The sequence below is a fragment of the Homo sapiens genome, chromosome 1 (assembly GCF_000001405.40).
Source record: "Homo sapiens chromosome 1, GRCh38.p14 Primary Assembly".
NCBI classification, from domain to species: Eukaryota; Metazoa; Chordata; class Mammalia; order Primates; family Hominidae; genus Homo; species Homo sapiens.
Window position 1 is genome coordinate 158,077,242 of NC_000001.11, and position 24,027 is coordinate 158,101,268.

The following is a 24,027-nucleotide window of genomic DNA, read 5'->3' on the forward strand; positions in this document are numbered from 1 at the left end:
TAAGGGAAAGAGATGGGTCTGGTAGATCTATTGATGATAGAAAGAGAAAGAAACTGGGAGAGAGAGTGAGATCAATAGATATGGAGTGAGAAGAATCGATAGCCTCTGGACAGAGGGAGATCATGGGAAGGAGCTGATGGTGGGAATGTGAGGGGAGGCTGGGAAGCAAGAAGCGGGTGGGGGAGCCTGGAGGAAGGAGGGCAAGGCCCACTGCCTCAGCCACTGCTTCTGCAGGAAACCAGGACTCTTTGGTTTAGGAGCTCCTCTGGGGAGCCAGCGGTCCCCTGCCTCATCCTTCCTCCCTGGGCCTGCCTTGGGCTTCCCTCTGCCTTATGAGTCCTGCAGAGGTGCTCCCATGAGCTCATGTCTGTGCTGCGATGCCCTATATTTCCTGGCGCCCACACACTCGCTCTCCCTCTCTCCCCCTCTCCTTTGCTCCCTGCTGTGTGCCTTTTTCTCTCCTCTTTCTCCCCTATTATTATGAGAGGCATTTGTCTGCAAACAGCCTTGGAGATTTCATCTGCTCCTGCTAGCCTCCCTGCTTCAGCTGCCCTCCTGTCTGCTCCTCCAGCTGTATGGCTCCCAGCCTCGCCGTGAGGTGTCGTGGCATCAGGTGTCTGTGTCTGGGGCCTCACCTTCTCACCTGTCAGTGGTGTCCCAGGAGAGGGCAGAGGGAGGAGTACTGGTGTGGGATGGCTGAGGATGTGTCCTTGTTTCAAGGTTGGGCCTCATTCTTTCTGTTTCTGCAGCCTGGCCACGGTACCGGGTTGTGGGCTCCGCAGACGCTGGGCAGTACAACCTGGAGATCACAGATGCTGAGCTCTCTGACGACGCCTCTTACGAGTGCCAGGCCACGGAGGCCGCCCTGCGCTCTCGGCGGGCCAAACTCACCGTGCTCAGTAAGGACCCCAATACCCTTCAGTACTTCGAGGCCCTGTCTCTCTGTATCCTGGCAGTCTCTCCCACTCTCCAGTTCCCTCTTTAATTTCCCAGCTTCTCCCTCTCTGTTACTGGCCTTATCCCTGCCCTAATGCTCAAGTCCAGGTAGAAGAAAGTAAACCAGGCATGTGGGAGACGTGGGGTGCTGGCGGGACGTGAGCTGTGTGAGGCCCAGCATCCTCTCTGCCGCAGCCAGTGCCTCGGCCACTCAGGGACAGGGCCTTCTGCCTTTTAGAAACAAGGCTGTGGAGACAAGAAGCAGGGACGTATGGAGTGATGGAGACCCGGGCCCTCCTTTCCCAGCTGTCCTGGCTGGCAGGCTTGTTGGTGAGGGGGCGTCTCCCTTCCACTTTCCTCTCAGCTGCCTCGGAGACCCCAAACGGCCCCCGTGCCCCTCCTTCCACCTCACCCTAGCCTCACACAACCCTTCTTCCCTCAGCTGCCTCCTTTCCTCCCTCAGTGCTCACCCTTCCTCTCAAATTCACCTGGGGGCCTCCTCCAGGAACAGGGGAATAGGACTGGAAGGAATGGGCCTTGAGGCTGAAAACTGGGGTGAGGGGTGGGAGGGATGGGGTCCTGCTGTGTCTGGATGGCTGCTGGCTCTTGGAAGCCCTGCAGCTCTTGGAAGCCCTGCGCCAGCCAGGCAGCCACCCACTGGGGGACCGAGCAGATGTCCCTCTATGGTAACCCCCGAGGCCATTTGCATAATGAGGGGACTCTCTCCTGCAGCAGTGCCACAGAACCGGAAGGAGGCCAGCTTCAGCACACCCCTTGCCCCCCCTCACCCACTCAGCCCCCAGCCTCTCTCCAAGCCTCACTCTTGCAATACCTCTGAATCTGCCAGTCTTCCTGTTCTCTCCAGCCCTGTTGTCTCACTGGGCCTCTGCCTCTGTTGTGCTTTCTGTCTTGGGCTTGGACTCTGTCCATCTGTGACTCTCTTTCTTCCCTATTTACATTGACTCTGTCCCTTTTTTTTCTGCCTCCATTTGATATGTTTTGCCCCTCTTCCTTTCCTTCCTTCTAACTTGAAATCACTGAATTTGCGGGGAGCCCCCAAGATGGATGGGAGAAAGGAGAGAGGAGCTGAGATGAGGGAGTTTGGGTACAAGGAAGGTTTTCTGTTGTTTGTTTGGTTGGTTGGTTGATTGGTTGGTGTTTTTTGAGACAGAGTCTCTGTCACCCAGGCTGGAGTGCAGTGGCATGATCTCGGCTCACTGTAATCTCCACCTCCCGGGTTCAAGGGATTCTTGTGCCTAAGCCTCCTGAGTGGCTGAGATTACAGGTGCCCGCCACCATGCCTGGTTAATTTTTGTATTTTTTAGTAGAGACGGTGTTTCACCATGTTGGCCAGGCTGGTCTCGAAATCCTTACCTCAGGTGATCCACTCATCTTGGCCTCCCAAAGTTCTGGGATTACAGGCATGGGCCACTGTGCCCAGCCTGTTGTTTTGTTTTTTGTTTTTGCAAGGAGGGAGGTGAGAACATAACAAGTCCTCAGAGCATAGTGGAAAGAGAGAGTCCTAGACTGCTGGTGGTTAGGAGACCTGGGCACTTTGGCCATTTTGGCATCATGATCCTAAAGAGGTGACAACCTCTGGGCATGAGTTTTCTCATCAGTAACATGGCATAATGACACCAGCCTTTTCTTAGCAACTGCTGCTTTGCTTCATGGAGACTTGTAAACTGTGAAGGTCTGGGCGAATGTGAGATGTCAGAATAAGTGAGGACTGGAGGGACCCAACAGCCAATTTCATTGGATGTAAAGGCCCTGAAGGACCAGGATTCAAGGCTGCTGGATGATTTGCTTTTCCTCTCTAGGACTAAAATGGAAAGAATTAGCAAGGAGCAGGAATGAGGTTAGACAGCAAAAATTAGACGGTGATCTTGAATGCCAAGACATCATCTTTCATCCCTCACTGAGGTGTGTCAGCCCCATGCTCAACCAAGTATTCCGAGGAACCGTGAGACTCTTAGGAAACCTTCTTCTTTCTTTTTTCCTCCCTAACTGCCTCTATCTTAGGCCCTAGAAGGTGCTACTGCTGCCCTGGAGTACTCGCTTCCTAATGAGTGGACCTTGATACTCTTCTTTCTGCTACCTTATCACAGAGATAGAGAGAGATGAAGAAAGGCCAGCTAAGCTACTAAGTGTTGCAGTAACAATGTCTTATAATGGCACCCAGTGGCTTGGTTCAATCCAGGAAGAACCTGGAAAAGGAGAATATCAAGGGGAACCCTAGATGGAAGAGTGCCTTGTTTAAAAGCTTGCAGGCCAATGAAGGAGAGCTACATAGCAGGAGAGCCGACTGGCTTGTTTCGAGGGCATGGTGGGTATTGAAGGTATGGTCCTTGCTGGCCTGCCTGGGTGACTTGGGTGGATGAGAGAACAGGGAGAGACCCCAGGAGTAACTTTAAGCTGAAAGAGAGACAGGGACGGTTAGTGCAGCTGGAGGGGCTTTACACGCCTGGGCAAACACCTGGGCATGGTGTCTCCTCGGGGCTCTACCCATCCAGGATCTTCCTCCCGGGTGTGGCAGCAACATGTGACCTTAGAGGGGCCTGAGCAGACCAGGAGGCCCTTCTCCCTTCACTCTTTCCTCTCCTTGTCTTTCTCTTAAATTCTCAAACACCCTGCCACCTGCAGCACACGGAGGCAATAAGAAGGCATGACACTTCCTGCATCCCTTCCTGCGTACCTGCTTACCCACAGCCTTTGCTCATGGCAGCTGGGGGACCCAGAGACTAGGCAGGGCAGAAATGAGGAGTGGGCTGTGCCCAGTGCCTGGTATCAGCCTCCCTGCATGATGTCAGCCTTATAGACTCCTCTCCTCCCCAGCCATCCCCCTCAGCAGCCCCCCAGCTCCCCAGGCCAGGGGCCCTCTTCACAAAATGGCCTCTGTCATTCTTCCTTAGGGTAGGACTTTGAAAAGAAGCCTCCCACTCCCCCGCAGATGCAGACATAACATAGATATACAGACCTCCAAAACCATGGTGATGAGCATGACTTCTGGGTCAGGCAAGCCTGGTCCACATCCTAGCTCTGCCCTCTAACTCACTCTCCTGTCTCTGAGCACATTTGTTTATCCTCTTCGAGCCTCCGTTCCTTATCTGTAAATTGGGGTTAATATATTTACCATGAAAGGAATAATGAAATATACTTTGTGGTAGGGATTAAATGAAGTCATATACAGGAGGCACTTTGGCTGACACAAGGTGAACGTTCACTGAGTGGCAGAAGTTATTGTCGATCCCACCACCATTTACAGTTGGCTTCACCTTCTTGATTTTGTTTTGCAAAATCAGGGGAGTAGGTGTCCATTGTATTTTTGAAGTTTTATAAACAAGGAGACTGAGGCTTTTTTGACCACAGACTCAGGGGCACATGAGTTTGGGGAGGCACATGAGCATATTGATATACAGATTTAAGTCACAAACCATAAAAACTTGCTTATAAACACATGCACACATGGACACATGCCCTTTAACAGCTGGCTCAGCAGGCACCTTAACAGCTTTATTGTCATTTGTCCCATATATGAGGGACGAGCTCATATATGAGGGATGAGCTCACGGAGGATGGGCAGAGAGTTTGGAAAATTCAGAGAAAGGTAGACTGCTGGCAGAGGTGACAGATGGGTAGTCTTTGCATGAACAAAGGGGCAGGAGGCATTCCCAGGGTAGAGGAAGCTGATGCCTTCCCAGCGGAGGGGCTTCACACACCCGGGCACACACCTGGGCATGTTGTCTGCTCGGGGCTCTGCCCATCCAGGATCTTCCTCCTGGGTGTGGCAGCAACATGTGACTTTAGAGGGGCCTGAGCAGACCAGGAGGCCCTGAGCAGCAGCTCTTTATTCATTTCTCTCCACCTTTCTCTACTTTTCAAGCTGCTCCCCATCCCCATCCTCAAACCTGTCCCCATCTGGCATTGGAACCAGATACACCACAGAACAAGGAGGAAGAGCCAGGGATTCAGAGGATAATTAGCCAGGCAGGAGTTGGAGCCACTGCTACTCTCGTCCAGGCAGTAAGGCTAATACATTCCATACCTCACACATGCCCTGCACATCATAGTCTATGTATAGTATCTCATCTGACCTTCATGAGGCTCTAGTGAGTATGGTTATGTCTTGGTTTCTTCTCTGATGAAGAAACTGAGACTCAGTGATTTTAGGAACTCATCCGAGATCACACAGCAGGTAAACAAAGGTGCCAGGATTTGAAACCAGGCAGTCTGAATCTAAGTTTTATTCTTTTTCCACTATACCACTAGGCACACATGAGTTGAACAGAATGCTAAGACAGGTTTCGAGTAGTTTCTACTGGAAACCCCAGCATAGAGACCTTCATTGTGTAAATTCTAGAACAGCCCTGTCCACCACTGGGCACCGTGGGTCTCCCAAGATCTCCTCTTGAGTGTTCCCTCTGCACACTCCTCTCGAGTGTTCCCTCTGGACCCTCCTCTGGGTCTTTCTTGTCTTTCCCAGAAAGAAGCAAACAAAATCTTTTATCGGTGGAGCACGCTGGCTCATGCTTGTAATCCCAGCACTTTGGGAAGCTGAGGTAGGAGGACTGCTTGAGCCCAGGAGTTTCAGACCAGCCTGGGCAACATAGCGAAACCTCGTCTCTACAAAAAATAGAAATTAGCCAAGCATGATGGTGTGTACCTGTAGTTTCTGATACTTGGGAAGCCGAGGTGGGAGGATTGCTTGAGCCCAGGAGTTCCTTTCTCATTTATGGTTGATGAACACTGGGGGGACCAGAAAAATTATAATCAAAATCCTTCTGCCTTTATTTCATCAGTATCCATTCATTAATTCAGCAAATATCCCTGAGCACCTGTGATCACCCAAGCCCTGGGCTAGACATTGAAGTGTTGATGGTATATCAGAAGCAGCCGCTACCCTCAGGGAACTTACAGTCTGGTTTGTCTTAGAAGCCTATGGAGATAGGGGAGGGAGAGCCCCCCTTGTTTGCAACATCATACATCGGTCAATTGAATTCTTTAAACATTTAGCAAGAGCCTACTTGGTCACATTCTAGGCACTGGTGACCATATAAATATTAGTGAGACAGGGTTGCTGTTTTTCCAGGGGATCACAGTTTTGGTTGGGGCAGGGTTCGATAACTGTTATAAGTAAACAAAATCCAAGGCGCTAAGAGCTCTGAGTGACTGGTGGGGGCCACCATGGTGGGGGTGGGCTACAGCATGGAAAGCCTTGTGCATCAACTGGGATTTGAACAGGATAGGAAGCACTTCAATAGAAGCTGTGGGAGAAGGGCATGCCATATGGAAAGCACTGCAATGCAGGTCTTGGCTTGAGGACCCTGAACAGGAGGCCGAAATGCTTGGAACTTATGCCCTAGGCAGTTGTAGCCATTGAAGGTGCTTGAGCAGGGGAGTGGCACATACTTAGCTGTGCTGAAGGGAAAAATAACCTGCTAGCAGTGTGACATGGAGGTTACTGTAATAGGCCAGCCCATCTGTCTGCTCCAGGGCAGAGGAGCAGACAGGAGGAAGGATGGGAGAAGTGCTATGGAGGTAGCCACCTTTCCGAGCCAGACTCCCAAGACTATGAGCTGTACTCAGGGCCTGAGATAGCCCAGCCCTTTCTTAAGTTTGAGGCTTCCATCTGTAGTGTGCAGCTCTGAGCAACTGTAGGGGTATGGAGCCAGGCACAGTGGTTCACGCCTGTAATCCCAGCACTTTGGGAGGCTGAGGCAGGTGGATCACCTGAGAGGTCAGGAGTTCGAGACCAGTCTGGCCAACATGGTGAAACCCCTACTCTCTACTAAAAATACAAAAATTAGCTGGGAGCAGTGGTGGGCGCCTATAATCCCAGCTACTTGGGAGGCTGGGGCAGGAGAATCGCTTGAACCCAGGAGGTGGAGGTTACAGTGAGCTGAGATGGCACCACTGCACTCCAGCCTGGGCGACAGAGTGACACTCCATCTCAAAAACAAACAAACAAACAAACAATAAACCAGTAGGGGCATGGAGTACCAGAAAATATTATAGGCCAGGAAAGAAAAGCAGACAAGGACTGGGAAAGATGTGTGAGCTGAGGACCTAGAGGAAGCCACCACAAGAGCAATGAAGACAGTGGTTGTAGATTAGGGGGTAGGGTGGTACCGCCTACCTAGAGGCGCACATGCAGGTGGAAGGATGCTTCCAGAGGCAGGAGTTTTGGTCTTCAGGGAAGTGTTAGCCACACCCTGCACTGACTTTGCTCTGCTTTCTCCCACAGTCCCCCCAGAGGACACCAGGATTGACGGAGGCCCTGTGATTCTACTGCAGGCAGGCACCCCCCACAACCTCACATGCCGGGCCTTCAATGCGAAGCCTGCTGCCACCATCATCTGGTTCCGGGACGGGACGCAGCAGGAGGGCGCTGTGGCCAGCACGGTGAGCTCCAGCCAGCTCCCCCAGCTCCTCCTGGGCCTAGCCCAGCTCACCTCTCCTTTCCCACAGGGGTTTCACCACAGACTCAGGAGCACACAGACATGAGAGGGGTCTTAGAGGTCATCTGGTTCAACCCTCTCATTCTACAGTTGGGAAAATTGAAACCCAGAGAAGAGAAATGAATTCCTAGGTTTACTGTGTCATTCAGTAGCTGAACAGAGACTAATAGTAATAATAAGTTGCCATGGATTAAGCACCTACTGTGTGCCAGACACCGTGCATGCTAAACACTTTATGGACAGTCTCTCTTAATCTTCATAGGAGTCCCATAAAGGAGGCATTATTTCCAACTCACAAAGGAGGAAACTTGCGCTCAGAGAGGTTGAGTGACTTGTCCAAGGTCACACAGCTGGCACAGAGCGGGGGTTTGTACCTGGGTCTGACTGTGCTTTCTCTCCACTGATCACTTCTACCTCTTTCCTTCAGCGTCTGGTTGTCAGATTATTCCAGTCATCACAACAAAGAGGCTGGGGAAGCAGAGATCCTTGTATACATTTTATAGATGAGGAAGCCATGAAAGATATCAAGTGACTTGCCCAGGATTACATAGCAAAGCGGACAGTACAGCTGGAATTCAAAGCCAGATTTCCTGGTTGGGGTTACCCTGCCAGTTGTGGGTAAACATATGTGTATTCAGCCCTTTGCTGGTGCTGCAGGAGCACTTCTCAGTGTGGAGACAGAGATGTTCCCATGCTCCTCAGCAAGCAATCCCAGGAATACCTGGCTTCTGGCTTCAGTTCTGCCCTTAACACACTGTGTGACCTTGGATAATTCGCTTCACTTTTTTCTGGCCTTAGTTTCTCATTTGACAAATGATAATTCAGCCTCAGTGGTACTTAACCTTTTCACAACCAAAAACTGTGATTTTTCTTCATCAGGGCTACATGTTTTTAGATATTTTGGCAACCAAACAAGTTGGTTTGTTAATATCCATTTGTCATCTACCCCCATTTTTCATATTCATTAAAGACAATGGAGCTTCAAAGCAGCACAAGGGAGCCAGTGTTATTGCACTGGCCCTCAACTGGGCCTGTCCAGCAAAGCTGCATGCATGGTGGTCAAACAACGGGGTCTTACTTTGATTAATAATATGGCTTCCCTCAGGCAGTTTGCAATATAGAAAACAGATCAAGGGTTCCTGTGACCATATTTAGGGACCCCTGGCTGTCACTGAGCAAGTGTAAGACTTCGAGCCTGTGAGTCCCTTCCCTGCCCTCAAGGAGTTTACAGTTTAGCAGAAGAAACCCAACCCTGAAACACGCACACATGGTGCCTACAAGCAAGGTTGGATGTGTCTAGAGCTGTGAGCAGGACACACTGACTATAAGGGCATAAATTCAGTCTGGGAGAGAGTTCTGAGGGCTGGGCTGGCTGAAGAAGGCTTTCCAGAAGAGAAGGGATTTGCGCTGGACTCACAAAGAGTGAACTCTAATATAAACTGTGGCCTTAATAATAATATATTAGTTTCGGTCCATCAGTTGTAACAGACTTATCACTCTAATGCAAGGTGTTAAGGTGTTAGTAATGGGGGAAAGTGTAAGGTCGGGGAGGAGGGTATATGGAAACTCCCTGTACTTTCTGCTCAATTTTTCTGTAAACTTAAAACTGCTCCAAAAGATAGTCTGTGATGTGGGCATGATGGCACACTCCTGTAGTCGCTGCTACTCAGAAGGCTCAGGCAGGAGGATTGCTTGAGTCCAAGCTTTGGAGGCCAGCCTGGGCAACATAGCAAGACCCTAAAAATATATAACTTTTAATTAAAAGATAATTAGTAGTCTATTGATTAAACACACACACACACACACACACACACAAGGGAAGAGGTTGTGGGAGTGAAGGGGATTGAGCTTTAAGTTAAAGTACCCCTCCAGCCCAAGCCCATCTCTGAGTGAGGTCAACTTAAGAGCAGAGGAGGGGGCTTTTAGCTTAACCATATCTCCCACCCTTGTCATGTTCCAGGAATTGCTGAAGGATGGGAAGAGGGAGACCACCGTGAGCCAACTGCTTATTAACCCCACGGACCTGGACATAGGGCGTGTCTTCACTTGCCGAAGCATGAACGAAGCCATCCCTAGTGGCAAGGAGACTTCCATCGAGCTGGATGTGCACCGTGAGTGGGCTGGGGGGAGCAGTCTGGAGCAGGGGGGTGGAAGAAGGGGTGTGTTTGAGAAGCACACTCTTAGTTTGAGAAACACAAACTAAGAGTCCCCCTATGGTCCCCAGGACAAACGCTTGCCTTCTTCACATCTTTCATTCCCTGGATTGAACCATGGGGACTAAGGGCTGGTAGAGCATTGGCTGTGGAGTCAGGCAGTCCCCAGGTCTAAACCAGCCTGTTATTAGTCAATGGTTTACACTCTCTGGGCCTCGGTTTCCAGTTCTGTATACTGTATATTGCAAAAGATAAAATACTGGCCTACAGTCCCTTATTCAAACTAAAAGTGGTTCGATGGTGCAGCCTGAACCAAGGCTCTTCATAGTCTTTTATTTAATTTAGTCTTAAGTTTCACTGCAGATGTATTCATATGTGTGACTATGGGATGTGGCCCAGATGCTGCTGGGGATCTTACACAGTAAACGCTCTATGCACAACCATTGCCTTTCTAAATGTGAAAAATTCTAAATTCTGAAATGCATCTAGTCCTAAGGGTTTCAAATAAGGGATTGTGGACCTGGACCTGCTTCCTGGGGTTGTGAGCATTAAATGAGATATAGCAGAAGAGCATCTAGCATGGAGTATTCTTACCTGGTAGGTGTGTAATAAATTGTCTCTCCCCAGGGAACCATGGGGGTGTGGGCAGCAACTGGGGATGCCCACACCCCATCCTTTTTAGTGAGCCAAGCAAGCTCACACTGACGCCTAGTGGCCACAGTGGGTCATTAGTCCATTGAGTTATTTGTCCCTTTGGTGCCTTCATTGGTGGTCACCCTAGCAGGCCCCCTAGAGGCTCCATGTGCAAAAGGTGAGGAAGACAGTGTGTTAACTGGAGCCGATACACTGCAACCTCAAATTCCTAGATCCCCGCCAGAGTGGTCAGGTCTGAATGTACGTGTTAGGGAGGGAAAAAGAAACTCAAGGGACAGAAAAGACCCTGACTCCCTGTGCTCTACTTTGCAGACCCTCCTACAGTGACCCTGTCCATTGAGCCACAGACGGTGCAGGAGGGTGAGCGTGTTGTCTTTACCTGCCAGGCCACAGCCAACCCCGAGATCTTGGGCTACAGGTGAGGGGGTCAGAGGCTGGGAGCGCTCTGGGGAGTGATAAGGAAGAGTTCGGGGTTAGAGGCTGTACTGGGGAGGCCAGGTGTCATGGATGTAGTTGAGAGGGTCTGAGGCCTGATCCCACCTCTGTGTTGCCTCCTCCCCTAGGTGGGCCAAAGGGGGTTTCTTGATTGAAGACGCCCACGAGAGTCGCTATGAGACAAATGTGGATTATTCCTTTTTCACGGAGCCTGTGTCTTGTGAGGTTCACAACAAAGTGGGAAGCACCAATGTCAGCACTTTAGTAAATGTCCACTGTGAGTAGCTGGGAGGGCAGGGACGGGGACAGAGAGCAGGGGCCCCCAAAGGGCCTTGGACAGAGTCGGGGACTGCTCCATGAATGGGGAGGTAGCAGGGCAGGAGGAAGATTGATTGGAGTTAACCCCATGAGCTTGAGACCCTAACGAGTGGCTTCTTTCTCCCTCACAGTTGCTCCCCGGATTGTAGTTGACCCCAAACCCACAACCACAGACATTGGCTCTGATGTGACCCTTACCTGTGTCTGGGTTGGGAATCCCCCCCTCACTCTCACCTGGACCAAAAAGGACTCAAATATGGTAAGACTCTTACTGCCTGTTCTTTTTTTTTTTTTTTTTTTTTTTTTTGAGACGGAGTCTCGCTCTGTCGCCCAGGCTGGAGTGCAGTGGCGCGATCTCGGCTCACTGCAAGCTCCGCCTCCCGGGTTCACGCCATTCTCCTGCCTCAGCCTCCCGAGTAGCTGGGACTACAGGCGCCCGCTACCACGCCCGGCTAATTTTTTGTATTTTTAGTAGAGACGGGGTTTCACCTTGTTAGCCAGGATGGTCTCGATCTCCTGACCTCGTGATCCGCCCGCCTCGGCCTCCCAAAGTGCTGGGATTACAGGCGTGAGCCACCGCGCCCGGCCTTACTGCGTGTTCTGAATGCTGGGAGGAAGGGGTGCGGCCACAGATGGGAGTAGATGGGGGGCTGCAGCATTATCTTTGAACCTGGGCTATTTCTAGGGTCTTGGGATTTGGAGGAGAAAGTGCTTACGGTTATCCCCACATCTTCTCACAGGAAAGCCCAGTTCAGAAGCACTGGGGGGACAAACTCACCTGTGCACGGGAAGCAGGGTGGGGTGGGAGGAAGGGAGAGGGCCTGGGGCGGGCCTACTGCAGTGGTAAAGGTCTGGTAAATAATGCTGCACAGGGAGGTGGGGAAGCTGAGGCGATTCACTAAAGAAGGCTGGAGTCTACAGCTCTGCAGAGACCCCCATTAGACCATTTGGGCCAGAACTACAGGAAGAAGAATTTCAGAGTAAAACGTCCTATGTCATTTGGCAATGAAAACACTAGAACAGATCATCAGAAGAGGCTGCGTCCTCCTAAAATGATTGCAGCCTTCACCTGCCCTCTCTGGCCTCCACCCCATCCCTGCCCACACCTGCAGAGATGGTGTGTTTACGTGCCAACCTGTGTAGAGTCAGAGCATGGACCAAAATGGACTCGGGAACCCCATTTCCCTTCTGGGAATTCACTTGTGGCCCTTCCTGCTTTCTTTCCGATGCCTCCGATGTGGGGCCCTCATGGACCTAGGGGCCCAGGCCTCCTGGCTCCCCACCCGAGGCTGCTCTCTCTGCCCAGGTCCTGAGTAACAGCAACCAGCTGCTGCTGAAGTCGGTGACTCAGGCAGACGCTGGCACCTACACCTGCCGGGCCATCGTGCCTCGAATCGGAGTGGCTGAGCGGGAGGTGCCGCTCTATGTGAACGGTGAGTGAGTGGCCTGAGAGGCAGCCGGGCCTGGGCGGGCTGGTACTGCAGTTTTTAACTGGTTCTGACTTGTGTCTTCTTGCTTGCAGGGCCCCCCATCATCTCCAGTGAGGCAGTGCAGTATGCTGTGAGGGGTGACGGTGGCAAGGTGGAGTGTTTCATTGGGAGCACACCACCCCCAGACCGCATAGTGAGTGGCGGACCTGCCTGCGGACAGCCAGCCCTCCCTGCTTCTTTGCCCAGGCCCAGCCTCCTCTCACTTCTGCTGGTTTTGCTCCTTCAACTTCCCTGTCCCGTTTCCATCCTCGAATCTTCTGCTTTCTGTCCCTCTGTCCCTTTACCTGCTCAAATCCCACCTCCTCCCTTACTTGTTATGTGTCCCTGAGCAGATCACTTAATGTTTTGAACCTCGGTTTATTCATCTATAAAACAGGGCCAGTAACTCCTACCTAATAGGGTTGCTGTGAGAAGTCATGGCAGCAACAGGTGTGAGATGCCTAGGCCAGCACTTGATTCATGTTAGTTCCCCACTCTCTCCCCTGGGCTAACACTTCCCCTCTTTTCTCCCTCATCTGCCTGTCATTGACCTCCTGCTCTTTTCTTTGCTCCCTCCCCTTCCCTGTCTCCTCCTCTGGCTCTTGCCATCTCTCTCCCTTCCCATCAGTTCTCCTACCTGCCTGGCCCACTCTTCTCTCCCTCCTCCTGCCTTCCTCCTACCAGCCCCTTGCCTTGCCACTCTCCTCCCTCCTTTCTCCTCTCCCCCACACCATGAGCCATTAATTCCTTCCGTGACTATTAACTGTCAAACCCCTCATCACATTTAATGACCATTTGGCTAACTCCAGGGCTGCCCAGGGACACTTCATTACCACGGCCGCCCGGGCAGCAGGCGGCTGGCCTCCCGGGGGGCTTTCCTTGCAGATCTAGGAGGATTGATCCCTGGAAAGGAGCCAGTTCTCGGCTGCTCCCCCTCCCTTAGGCTCCACTCTGAGGAAGGGGCCACTCAGGGGAATGGTCCGGCTGAGAAGTCAGGGATGGAGGGGTCCAGGAATACCCCGTTGTGGGTTCTGCCTATTATAAGTCTGTGGATCAGTCTCAGAGCCAGCCAGGCAGGTCGTGTGGGTTGGTTAAAGGTACGCCTAAAGATTGAGTTATGCTTAGTTAGAATCACAGACTATCAGAGCTGGAAGAAATCTTGAGCATTGTCTAGCCCTAGCCTGGTTCTGTCATTGTATAGATGAAGAAAATAAGGCCTAGAAAGGGACAGGGAGGCCACACAGGGGCTTGATGGGGAGAGGAGCCCAGCGTTCTTGAGGACAAATGCAGAACTTTTTCTACAACATCTGGGAGGATTCCCAGTGTCGGTTCAATGGATCCGCTGCATCCACATCACATGGGATCATGATGAAAATAGAGATTCTCCTCCTCCCTGGAGATTCCTATTTAGGACATAAGTCCCAAATATCTACATTTGAAAGAATCTCCCTAGGTAAATCTGATGTCAGCCATGCTTGGGAGCCACTGCTTCTCCTTGAGTGGAGTGTCAGTGCCGAGGGTGTGAGGTAGCAGGTGTGACTTAGGTTTGTTACAGGGAGGTGTTAGGCTGGGCTTGTGGGGCACACATGGCACATAGGGGTGAGGGTGCCTTGAGGGTGGATCAGGGGACACGTGGGCATGGGCTTCTGCCCCCTGCCCCTTTCTTACCTTCTTCCTTCCCTCTCCACCACAGGCATGGGCCTGGAAGGAGAACTTCTTGGAGGTGGGGACCCTGGAACGCTATACAGTGGAGAGGACCAACTCAGGCAGTGGGGTGCTATCCACGCTCACCATCAACAATGTCATGGAGGCCGACTTTCAGACTCACTACAACTGCACCGCCTGGAACAGCTTCGGGCCAGGCACAGCCATCATCCAGCTGGAAGAGCGAGGTGACTGGTAGTGCTGCCTGCCAGCTGGGGTGCAGAGCAGCCTGAGGATTCTGCTCCTTCTTTTCTCCAGGGGCAGGGCTCAGCTGCTCCCCTTCCCTTGGGCTCTGCTCTGAGGGAGGGGACACACAGAGGGATGTCCTGGCTGAGAGGTCAGGAGTGAAGGGGTTTGGGGCTACTCCCCTCTGATTCCTGCCTATTGTAAGAGTCTGTGCATCAGAGGGAAAGAACTCTCTGGGGCCTTCCCTCCAGAACCTGGCCTCCATGCTCAACTGGGGAAATGCCCTCACTTCGTTAAAGTGTACTGAGCATTTGCTATGTGCCAGGCTCTGCCCCAGGGGCTGCAGAAAGAGCTGTGAACAAGACACAGTCCCTGACCTCAAGAAACTTTCGGTGTAGTGGAGGAGGGACTTACAGAGTGGTAGTAAATTAATTCGGATGGAGAAGAATCATATGAACTGCAAAAGGGAATAACACGCCCATCTCATTGGGTGGACGTGAGGATTAAATTAGAGAATATTTACAAAATGCCTGGCATACAATAGGTGTTCAGTAAGTATGGGTTCCCCTACCTCTTCAAGAATTGTCACTCTGATAGCAGAAAAGTGTTCTCTCCTTTAAGGCACTTCTCACATGATAAAAGAGGTATTCCTTTGACTTTTTTGGAAGCTACCAAGTCCAAGGAGGAAAAGATAGCATTTTTTTGTTGTTGTTTTATTTTTTGAGAACTAACCATTTGACATAGGAGATGGAGAACCACATGGAAAATGACAGCATCCCATCACTTCAGTCTTTTTTTTTTTTTTTTTTTTGAGATGGAGTCTTGCTCTGTCGCCCAGGCTGGAGTGCAGTGGTGCGATCTTGGCTCATTGCAACCTGTGCCTTCCGGGTTCAAATGAGTCTCCTACCTCAACCTCCCGAGTAGCTGGGACTACAGGCACCCGCCACTACGCCCGGCTAATTTTTTGTATTTTTAGTGGAGACGGGTTTTCACCGTGTTAGCCAAGATGGTCTCGATCTCCTGACCTCATGATTCACCCACCTCGGCCTCCCAAAGTGCTGGGATTACAGGCATGAGCCACCATGCCCGGCCTATCACTTCAGTCTTAACTAAGGATGCCAGCAAGGGGGTTGGGGGTGGGGAAGAATGGAGTAGATACAGTAACGTGGGGCTCCACAGGGAAAGATCTCAGAGGGGAAGAGCTATAAGCAGGATCTGGATTCAACTAGGGCTGCTAGGAAGACAGAGAAGGCTGGAAGCAGGATTCCTGAGCTCTTCCTCAGCTCTGGGAAGCAGAGGAAACCAAGGAAAACTGTTGGAGCCCTGAGTAGATAGGTGAACATTCGGCAGTCACAGTGGTATTATGGATGGCACAGTGGTGAAAGATGTCGGAACACGGGTGGCAGATTGGAGAGTTTGGAGACAGCTGACCTCAAAGAAGAGCGAGGGGCCAAGCATCATAGTCAGGTGGGCTGAAGGACAGGGATCGACAGACAACCAAGACCAGGGGCAAACTCCTGCCCCAGCTGCAGGGATGAGACATGACCATGATCTCCATTCTGATGGAGCTGGAGCACAGACCAAAATCCAACCACAATGCAGACCTTCCTCTCTAATCCAACCTTGACTTAAACCTAACACTGTCCCCAGGCTCAGTCAAAACTTAGCCCTGTACACAAGCCAAGGTTGCCTCTGTGGCTGTGGCCTAGCCTTTAGCCAGCACTGAGCTTAGCTCCCAGTATAACTCCAGCCTCACCCCTCCACCTTTCCTTCCCCATCGAAAGAGGTGTTACCTGTGGGCATCATAGCTGGGGCCACCATCGGCGCGAGCATCCTGCTCATCTTCTTCTTCATCGCCTTGGTATTCTTCCTCTACCGGCGCCGCAAAGGCAGTGAGTATGGGCCCTGTGCAGCCCACAGCCTTCCCCTGGCTCTTCCAGGGCCATGACAGGCAGTGCTTGGGGTGGATGGGAGGTTGGCCCTTGAGCTCCAGCCCAGAGGGAGCCAGAAGCAGCCGCTGCAGAGACCAGCAGGAAGCACTTGTTCCAGGCTGCCTCTCCCGTCCCAGGTCGCAAAGACGTGACCCTGAGGAAGCTGGATATCAAGGTGGAGACAGTGAACCGAGAGCCACTTACGATGCATTCTGACCGGGAGGATGACACCGCCAGCGTCTCCACAGCAACCCGGGTCATGAAGGCCATCTACTCGGTGAGGGTCCTGCTCCTCTCTGGCCTCCTGCCTTCTCCACCCTCTGAGGACCAGCTCCATCCCAGATCTCTAATAACCGCGGTCATTCTCTCCTTCCTCAGTCGGTCTTCCCTGGTCCTGCCACACACACTCTCCCACACTCACACACATTCTCTCACACACGCCCCAGGCTAGTTTCCTCCAGCAGAGGATAGGCAGCTGGGATTGTCCAAAGACTTCCTTTGCCCCACAGTGTGTGAAAGTTGGAAGCCCCCAGAGGCTTTCTGGTCCATCTGCCTCATTGCTGAGATGAGGAAACAGCCCTGGAGAGGGGCAGTGACATATACAAGGTCACATTACATGTTAGCAACCAAACTAGTGCTCGAACCAAGGTCTCTGGCCTCTTCCCACCACATCCCAGAGCCTCTGCTGAGAGGACCAGAACTCAAGTCTGCCCTTGACCTCAGACCCCACCCATGAGCAGGTGGCCTCTGAGCGTGGGGAGGGGTTGGTGAGGGGCGAAAAGAGCAGGGCTTCCGTCTGCTGACGTCCCACTCCTGCTGCTCCACAGTCGTTTAAGGATGATGTGGATCTGAAGCAGGACCTGCGCTGCGACACCATCGACACCCGGGAGGAGTATGAGATGAAGGTGGGAAAGGGGGAAGGGGCCAGGGCATGAGGGCTGGTGGGCCAGTGGGTTTCTGAGGTCCTGTAGCGGGGAGGTGAGGTGAGGACAGACTTGGGGAGGAGTGGTTGGGAGGGTTTTTGAAGGAGCAGAGGAGGTGGAATGCTAGATGGGGACATAGGGAGAGCTGGAGGAAGAGGCCCAGAAAGCCATGGTGAGACTTGATCCCCACCCAAGAGGGAACACTGCCTCCATCCTCTTCTCTCATTGCCCCCAGGACCCCACCAATGGCTACTACAACGTGCGTGCCCATGAAGACCGCCCGTCTTCCAGGGCAGTGCTCTATGCTGACTACCGTGCCCCTGGCCCTGCCCGCTTCGACGGCCGCCCCTCATCCCGTCTCTCCCACTCCAGCGGCTATGCCCAGCTCAACACCTATAGCCGGGGCCCTGCCTCTGACTATGGCCCTGAGCCCACACCCCCTGGCCCTGCTGCCCCAGCTGGCACTGACACAACCAGCCAGCTGTCCTACGAGAACTATGAGAAGTTCAACTCCCATCCCTTCCCTGGGGCAGCTGGGTACCCCACCTACCGACTGGGCTACCCCCAGGCCCCACCCTCTGGCCTGGAGCGGACCCCATATGAGGCGTATGACCCCATTGGCAAGTACGCCACAGCCACTCGATTCTCCTACACCTCCCAGCACTCGGACTACGGCCAGCGATTCCAGCAGCGCATGCAGACTCACGTGTAGGGGCCAGAGCCTGGCTGGGGCATCTCTGCGGGGCAGAGGAGAAGGCTTTCACAGCTGTTCCCTGATATTCAGGGGCATTGCTCATTGCTCCCTTCTCGGACCAGCCTTCTTCCTCCCACCATGGCAGGTGGGGAGCAGGTCTCCCAGAAACACCCCGTCCCGAGGATGGTGCTCTGTGCATGCCCCAGCCTCCTGGGCCTGCCCTTCCCTCTTCTTCGGGAGGATGTGTCTCTTCTGACCTGCACTCTTGCCTGACCCTAGAATGGGGACAGGGAAAGTGAAGGTTAGGGAAAGCAGAGGGGGGCACTTTTTAGCATTCCCTTTCTATCCCACCCCTCTGATCTCCCATAAGTGGAAATGGGGGTACCCAGGGATGGGCAGGCTTTGGCCTAGGGACATGAAGTATGGGAGTGGGTGGCTGTGGCACAGACAGGTGGAAAACGGGATAGCCTGGCCAGTCCCTCTGTTGTCTGCATTCGTGCCCTGGGTGCCTCTCTCCTTCCTCAGGGTACTGCAGAAGGGAGCGAACAGGGTACTGTTCGCTCTTGTCTACAGAACAGCCCTGGCACTGCATTCAAATCCAGTCTTCATTCAGCTGGGATCAAAATGCCAGTCACCTTGGCTACCCACTGTGGACAGCTGTCTGTCAGCATGCAGAGGGATCCAGGAATCCCCCCGGCAGCACGGCCCGCTTTCCTTCTCCTCCATGCTGGGCCAGCCAGATAAGTCAGGGTCCTGGTGGAGAAAGAAAGGCTAGGACCATGTCCTCATTGACCCAGATACTGCTGTGTGCTGCACAGCAGTGAACCAACACTAGAGGGAGCCACACAAGCCTCCTCTCCCCAGTCTGCCCCACTTCCTGGCTTTAACTCTTGAGCTGGTTTGGGGAGTGGTGAGGTAGGGGTGGGGGTGCTGTAGGCTCTTTTTCAAAGAAAACAAAAAACAATGAAAACCTCATTTGGGAAGAAAAGCTGTAGGGATTCCCCCACCCAAATACAAGTCCCAGTGGAAAGGAAAGGTAGTACCTATTCTTCTCCATGGGGTTCCTAACACCCTCCATTACTCTTTCAGTCTCCAAGCACTTTGAATCCATTTTTAAACATTCAGGTTGCCAGACCTGTCACACAGTGGACTCTGATAGGGTTACGGAGGGGGCCTGGCTCTCAGTCTCTACTCTCCTATGTCCCATCAGTTGGTTGGAGGCCACCTTCCAGGGGGTATGGGAGACAGGTTTTGGTTTTTAAGTGTCTTTTTTTTTTTTCTTGGACCAATCAGATTCCTTCTTCCACTTTCAGTGCCTTGAGTGTCAAGCTTTGGATGACCGACCCTATGTGGGCGGTTGTGTGGGGAGTGGGTACTTGTGAGCCTCGGACACACTGTTAAGTGTTACAGTGTTAGGAGAGAGATGGGTGAGGGGACCTGGAGAGGTAAGGGGCCTGGAAATGGCCCTGACAGAGAACTTGTGCTGACCGGGAGAAGGTGGTGCGGAAGGGCACCGCAGGCATTACACAGGCCATTTCTCCTCCTCCATGTGCACGCACATCCAACACACACCTTCCATGTGACTGCTTCTCAGCCACCACTTTCTGACCAAAGAGAACAGGCGCTCCAAGGAGAACCTGTACCCCTGCCCCAGCCTCGCCTTCCTAAAAAGCAGTGTCTGGAGTTGGCTGTTTCCCGCCTCCCCAGCTGCATGTCCAGCCCAGTGGGAGACAGGGCCTCTGGTGCAGTTCCCAAAATGTTCCTCGCCCTTTCTCCGTGGTCACCATTCATAATTCATGTTCGCTTTAATGAGTTACATGCTTATCAGCCACAGGCCATTACCACCCTTATGGATGGGTCTGGGGGGCGACATTCCTGGCCAACCCCTTGTAGGAAGGACCAGATAATACCCAGGAAGCAAGTAGCTCTAATTTTAACTTCACAGGAAGTCTGTGCATCCTCCTTCATTTCAGCAGGGAAAACTCCTGTGGAGTGGGCCCTATCTGGGGCATTTACAGGCTTCCAGCTGTATTCCATCCCTGGAAGCTGATACCTTTCTATAGAGTCCTTTTATGAGAGCTCAGTGGGAAGGTCTGTCAAGAAATTCAGGTTCTTGTACAGACAAATTCATGCAAATTTCTATTATTTTCACAAAAACCAGAAACCATGGGGGAATCCAAAGACTTGAAGTCTAAAGATGGTGGCTTTTAAAACATGCATATTCCAAAAAGAATTCATTTTTGTTTTGGGTTTGGCTAGATTCTCTTATTTATCCCCTTTTAGCTTAAGTATTAGTTTCATTCTACTGAAATGATGGAGAGAGGGCCTAAGGTTACTAGGTAATTGAGCTGATGGTGCAGGGAGAATTGTTGAGAAAGGAAGCCTAGTTTCCAGAAGCCTGACACAGAGCTACTTCACTGTCCTCTACTCCTTAACAAGGTAACTGGAGCCTCTTGGGTGTCAAACAAGCACCCTGGAAGGCACAGGGAAGCATCAGCAACCAAGGTAGTCTCTGCCCTCTGTAACTTACGTGTTGGTGCATCAGAATCTGAATTGGAACCTACCTGATGGGCCCAGTGGAATAGCTTTTCTGGGGAGTGGAAGGCGTCCTTGATCACAGAGCTTTGCTGTCGAATCCTGGAGTCCTGCAACATGGTGATGCCTCAGTAGTTGGTGATCCTGATCACCTTTGGTGGCTTGTTTTAGTGGAAAGAGCAAGGGACTAAAGGTCAGGAGACCCAGGACCCAGTCCTGAAGCTGCAAAGGTTAGATCTCGGCCTAACTTTCTGTTCATTGCCCCCAATTTGTCTGGCCTGTAAAATGAAGGGGGAGGGTTGCATAAACCTAAAACTATTCTGGTTTTGTTATACCCATAGGGTTGGGGGTAGGGATGGGACTGCCCATTGCTGGCAAGGAACTGGGAACAGTAGCAAGCATGGTGAGGGCTGGAGAGCTGGCTGGGGGGGTTCTCTCCTGTTCAAAGAAGCTTTCACCATGGGCTTCATTATCTTGTCAGAAGTGAATTAGTTTCCACCAGGGACCCCTTTATCCCAAACAGCAACACAAAATACACCCTAAACCTCAGAGTAAAATTGATGTGGGGCTATCCTTTGGCTATCGGGTCATCTGTGCTGCTCCCCACTCATTTCTGATGGGTTTGCAAAGGTGCCTTTTGCCAGGGCAGGACATAGTATGCACATAGGGATATTGTTATGTGCCTAGGTTTCAGGCACTCCTTCTGTAGGGGAAAATGGGAGGAGCCTTCCTCCACCCTGATCCTTAGGAACATTCCTCTGGCCCAGGGACAGCTTGTTCTTCTCACCAAACAGGTGAAGCCTGCAGTCCAAGGTGCCTGGAGCCAGAGGTCGGGGAGTAAGCACAGCTGCCCCTGCCTGAGAAGGAGCAGCTTGCAAGGGGAGCCGGTGGAGGGAAAGGGGTACAACAGCTTTGGAATACATTCTGGATCTTGAGGAGGATCTTGTGATTTTGGCTGAGCCACGGTCACTTCCCTCGTGAAGGACCCGCCCTATATCCTAAATTCTGGATCCCTCAAAGTCCAGCCACAGAGTTTGCATGAAGCAAAAAGCCTAGTAAGTGAGAAAGGAAAGGGGCCAGGGATGGGAGCAGTGCTGTGCTGTTATCACTGTCTTGCTTGGAATGAAAACATCTGAGCACCCTGTCTTCAAGCGGTACGCTCTCCCCTTATTCCAGCAGGGCTACTTTCCTCTTCACTCTGATGAGGGGAGCTTTATCTGCTTTCAAAATGGAGCACGTCGCACTGGAGTTTCGTGCCCTCTCGTTAACCTGTCAGGAGCCACAGGGCTCCATAAAACGGAATCAGTGTCTCAATATACATGACCTATGTTCATAGCAATGTTCAGCCATTTGGGTTTGAAGAAAACCACATTAAAGCCAAGACCCGTTTGGAGCGAACTGCCTTGTTCTTTGCTGTGTGGAAGGTTCTGTCCCTACTGCTGAACTCCAGTTCCTCCCCAAGCACCCTGGCCTCAGAAATCCTGGCTTCCCCAAGTTAGTGCTGTCTGACCTGAGCCAGGCCACTGCTTGGTGCCTCTACAGGCCACTGTGCATGTTGAGAATTGCCCAAAAGGATTAGTGAAGCTCCTGACCCTGGCGAGGCCATAATGAACACTGAAGTGCACAGGCCAAGGGATGTAATTGAAAGGCATTTATTTTTGTGAAGATGCTGTAAAATTAGCATTTAAATATCCCATTCCCTTCTCTTGGCCTCCTCCTATCCCCCTATGGTATTTCTCCTCCTCTCCTCAAGGCCAGGCTTTTTGTGAAAGGCATTGGCTCATCTTTGTCAGCGTGGTCCTGACGTTCACCTCTGGGCTGCTGGAGAGGACTGAGAGATGTGTGGTTTGGTAGGAAGGGGGTGTGTGTGGGGGTTAGTGGGGAATCCCATTTTTTTGCATCACTGTGAGGTAGCTTCAGGCCCTGTCCCTGGAGAAATAATTGCTGCGCAGAAGTCACAGGCCATACTGGGCAGTTCTGGTACAAACCTGCCCTTATTAATAATAACAATAATAATAATAACTCCATTTGCATAGAACTGTCACTCATTCCTGCCAGTCTGCTGTCCCTACCCTGGTTTTTTGCTGGCCCCAACCACTGGCCTTGTTGAGTATCGATGGGCCCTGAGCTCTTCTGTTTGCTTTTGGAGCTCTTCAGATGCTGTCCCCCCTGAGAATACCCTAACTCTGGGGAAAGAGCAGCCAAAATCCCAATACAGTAAAACTCCACACAATCTTGTTAGCAACAGTGACCCAGAAAATTTTGAGAAGTCCAATTTCACCAGAAGAGGCCCAGGGCTCCCTGTGGTCACATTTTCTACCCAGCCATTCTTGGCATTGCAACCTCCATTTCTAGCTCCTGTTGAATTTTCTCCACCCAGACCCCAAAAATAAATGGATCCATGATGATAATTAAGAGAAGAGAAAAAAAGATATTATTTTTGTTAGGACAAACCATTGTAGGTTTTTAGCAATGTGTATCTGTGTGTCCCTCACACCTTTTCCTATTCTACTTTTTTTTCCTTTTTTTAAAAATATTATGTACTATATTTTTAGTCTCAAACACACTATATATTATATATATTTAATTTTTTTATATATATAAATATAAATGTTTTAAAAAGTACCATGTTTTGTGTTATTTAATGCATTAACGGCTAGTTACTTAAAAGCCTGCCTGGCTTTGGGTGTTAGTCCTGGTTTGGGGAAAAAACAGGTTTGGATTGAAATTGCAGAAGCAATGTTTGTGCCACCTCCAGGCCGTGGGGCAAAAACGTATTCTCTAGTTTGCCACTTGTGCAGAACCCTGAGGCCAATTATGGCAGTTCAGGGACAAACAGCTGGAGGCTTCTGCTATTGGAAAACAGCATCCAAATGTTCTGTGCCAAATCGCATTATGGGAATGGGAAAAGGGGAGACTTTTGAATCTGAGATCTAGATCCCAAAGGAATTGGGACAAGTGTGTAAGAATGGCTGGTTTTGTTTATTTAAAACGCTGTGGTTTGGGTAAAAAGCAAAGTTACAAGGTCTCCAACCTTTTGAACTTGTAGTGAAGCAGAATGAAAAAACAGATGGTGCAGCAGTGCACACACACAGAGGCCATCCTGCTGAGAAATCCTAAATTCTCTGAGTTGAGTTCCCAAGGGTTTCAGTTTGCTCATTTCTCAGGAGTGTTTGCAGATACCTGAAATAGTTTTCAGATAATGTTTTGTTTTATTTTGTTTTGGACTTTTATTTTGTTTTGTTGTAGAGGCTATGTTGCCCAGGCTGGTCTTGAACTCCTGAGTTCAAGTAATCCACCCACGTCGGCCTCTGGAGTCGCTGGGATTACAGGTGTGATCCACTGTGCTTGGCCCAGATAATGTTTTTTAAAGCTATAAATCATTAGAGAAATAGGGTTTATTGTTTTCTTCATCCAGTTAACAACGAAGCAAACTCAAGACAGTTTACCGTAGCCTTTTTTGTACACAAGGGACACCCAACATAGTCAGAGAGGAAGACAGGATGTAAGAGCTGAAAAAATACTTTCGAAATAATGCAACCCATTTCCAAGAGGGCTAGAAGTCACGGCACAGGAGCTGCAGCTGAGGAAGGGTGCAAGGTGCCATGGGGCCTGGGGTTTGGAGGCATGT

At 51.3% G+C, this 24,027-nt stretch overlaps 1 protein-coding gene across 5 annotated transcripts in view, besides 1 other annotated feature; it reads left to right on the forward strand.

Moving 5' to 3' along the window:
• The window catches only part of KIRREL1 (kirre like nephrin family adhesion molecule 1), a 106,618-nt gene extending 83,597 nt beyond the window's left edge, over window positions 1-23,021 (forward strand). For 3 of the 5 annotated variants that reach the window (XM_047424310.1, XM_005245305.6, XM_047424312.1), the window contains 13 exons: window positions 750-899; window positions 7,181-7,338; window positions 9,355-9,505; window positions 10,514-10,619; window positions 10,765-10,913; window positions 11,086-11,213; window positions 12,213-12,387; window positions 12,477-12,577; window positions 14,117-14,315; window positions 16,098-16,205; window positions 16,382-16,521; window positions 17,072-17,149; window positions 17,403-23,021. In XM_047424310.1, coding sequence (XP_047280266.1) covers window positions 750-899; window positions 7,181-7,338; window positions 9,355-9,505; window positions 10,514-10,619; window positions 10,765-10,913; window positions 11,086-11,213; window positions 12,213-12,387; window positions 12,477-12,577; window positions 14,117-14,315; window positions 16,098-16,205; window positions 16,382-16,521; window positions 17,072-17,149; window positions 17,403-17,879 — 2,120 coding nt within the window. In that variant the 3' untranslated portion in view covers window positions 17,880-23,021. The remainder of the gene's footprint in view (window positions 1-749; window positions 900-7,180; window positions 7,339-9,354; window positions 9,506-10,513; window positions 10,620-10,764; window positions 10,914-11,085; window positions 11,214-12,212; window positions 12,388-12,476; window positions 12,578-14,116; window positions 14,316-16,097; window positions 16,206-16,381; window positions 16,522-17,071; window positions 17,150-17,402) is intronic. The other 2 variants (NM_018240.7, NM_001286349.2) reach the window with 2 other exon arrangements.
• Window positions 16,245-17,444: an enhancer, noted in NCBI's record as "BRD4-independent group 4 enhancer chr1:158063276-158064475 (GRCh37/hg19 assembly coordinates)". NCBI's record gives its function as "activates an origin of replication core promoter dependent on BRD2, P300/CBP, MED14 and CDK7 cofactors, and independent of BRD4, by STARR-seq in HCT116 cells {active_cell/tissue: HCT116}" and the evidence as "EXISTENCE:reporter gene assay evidence [ECO:0000049][PMID:35650434]".
• Window positions 23,022-24,027: the final 1,006 nt, after the last annotated feature.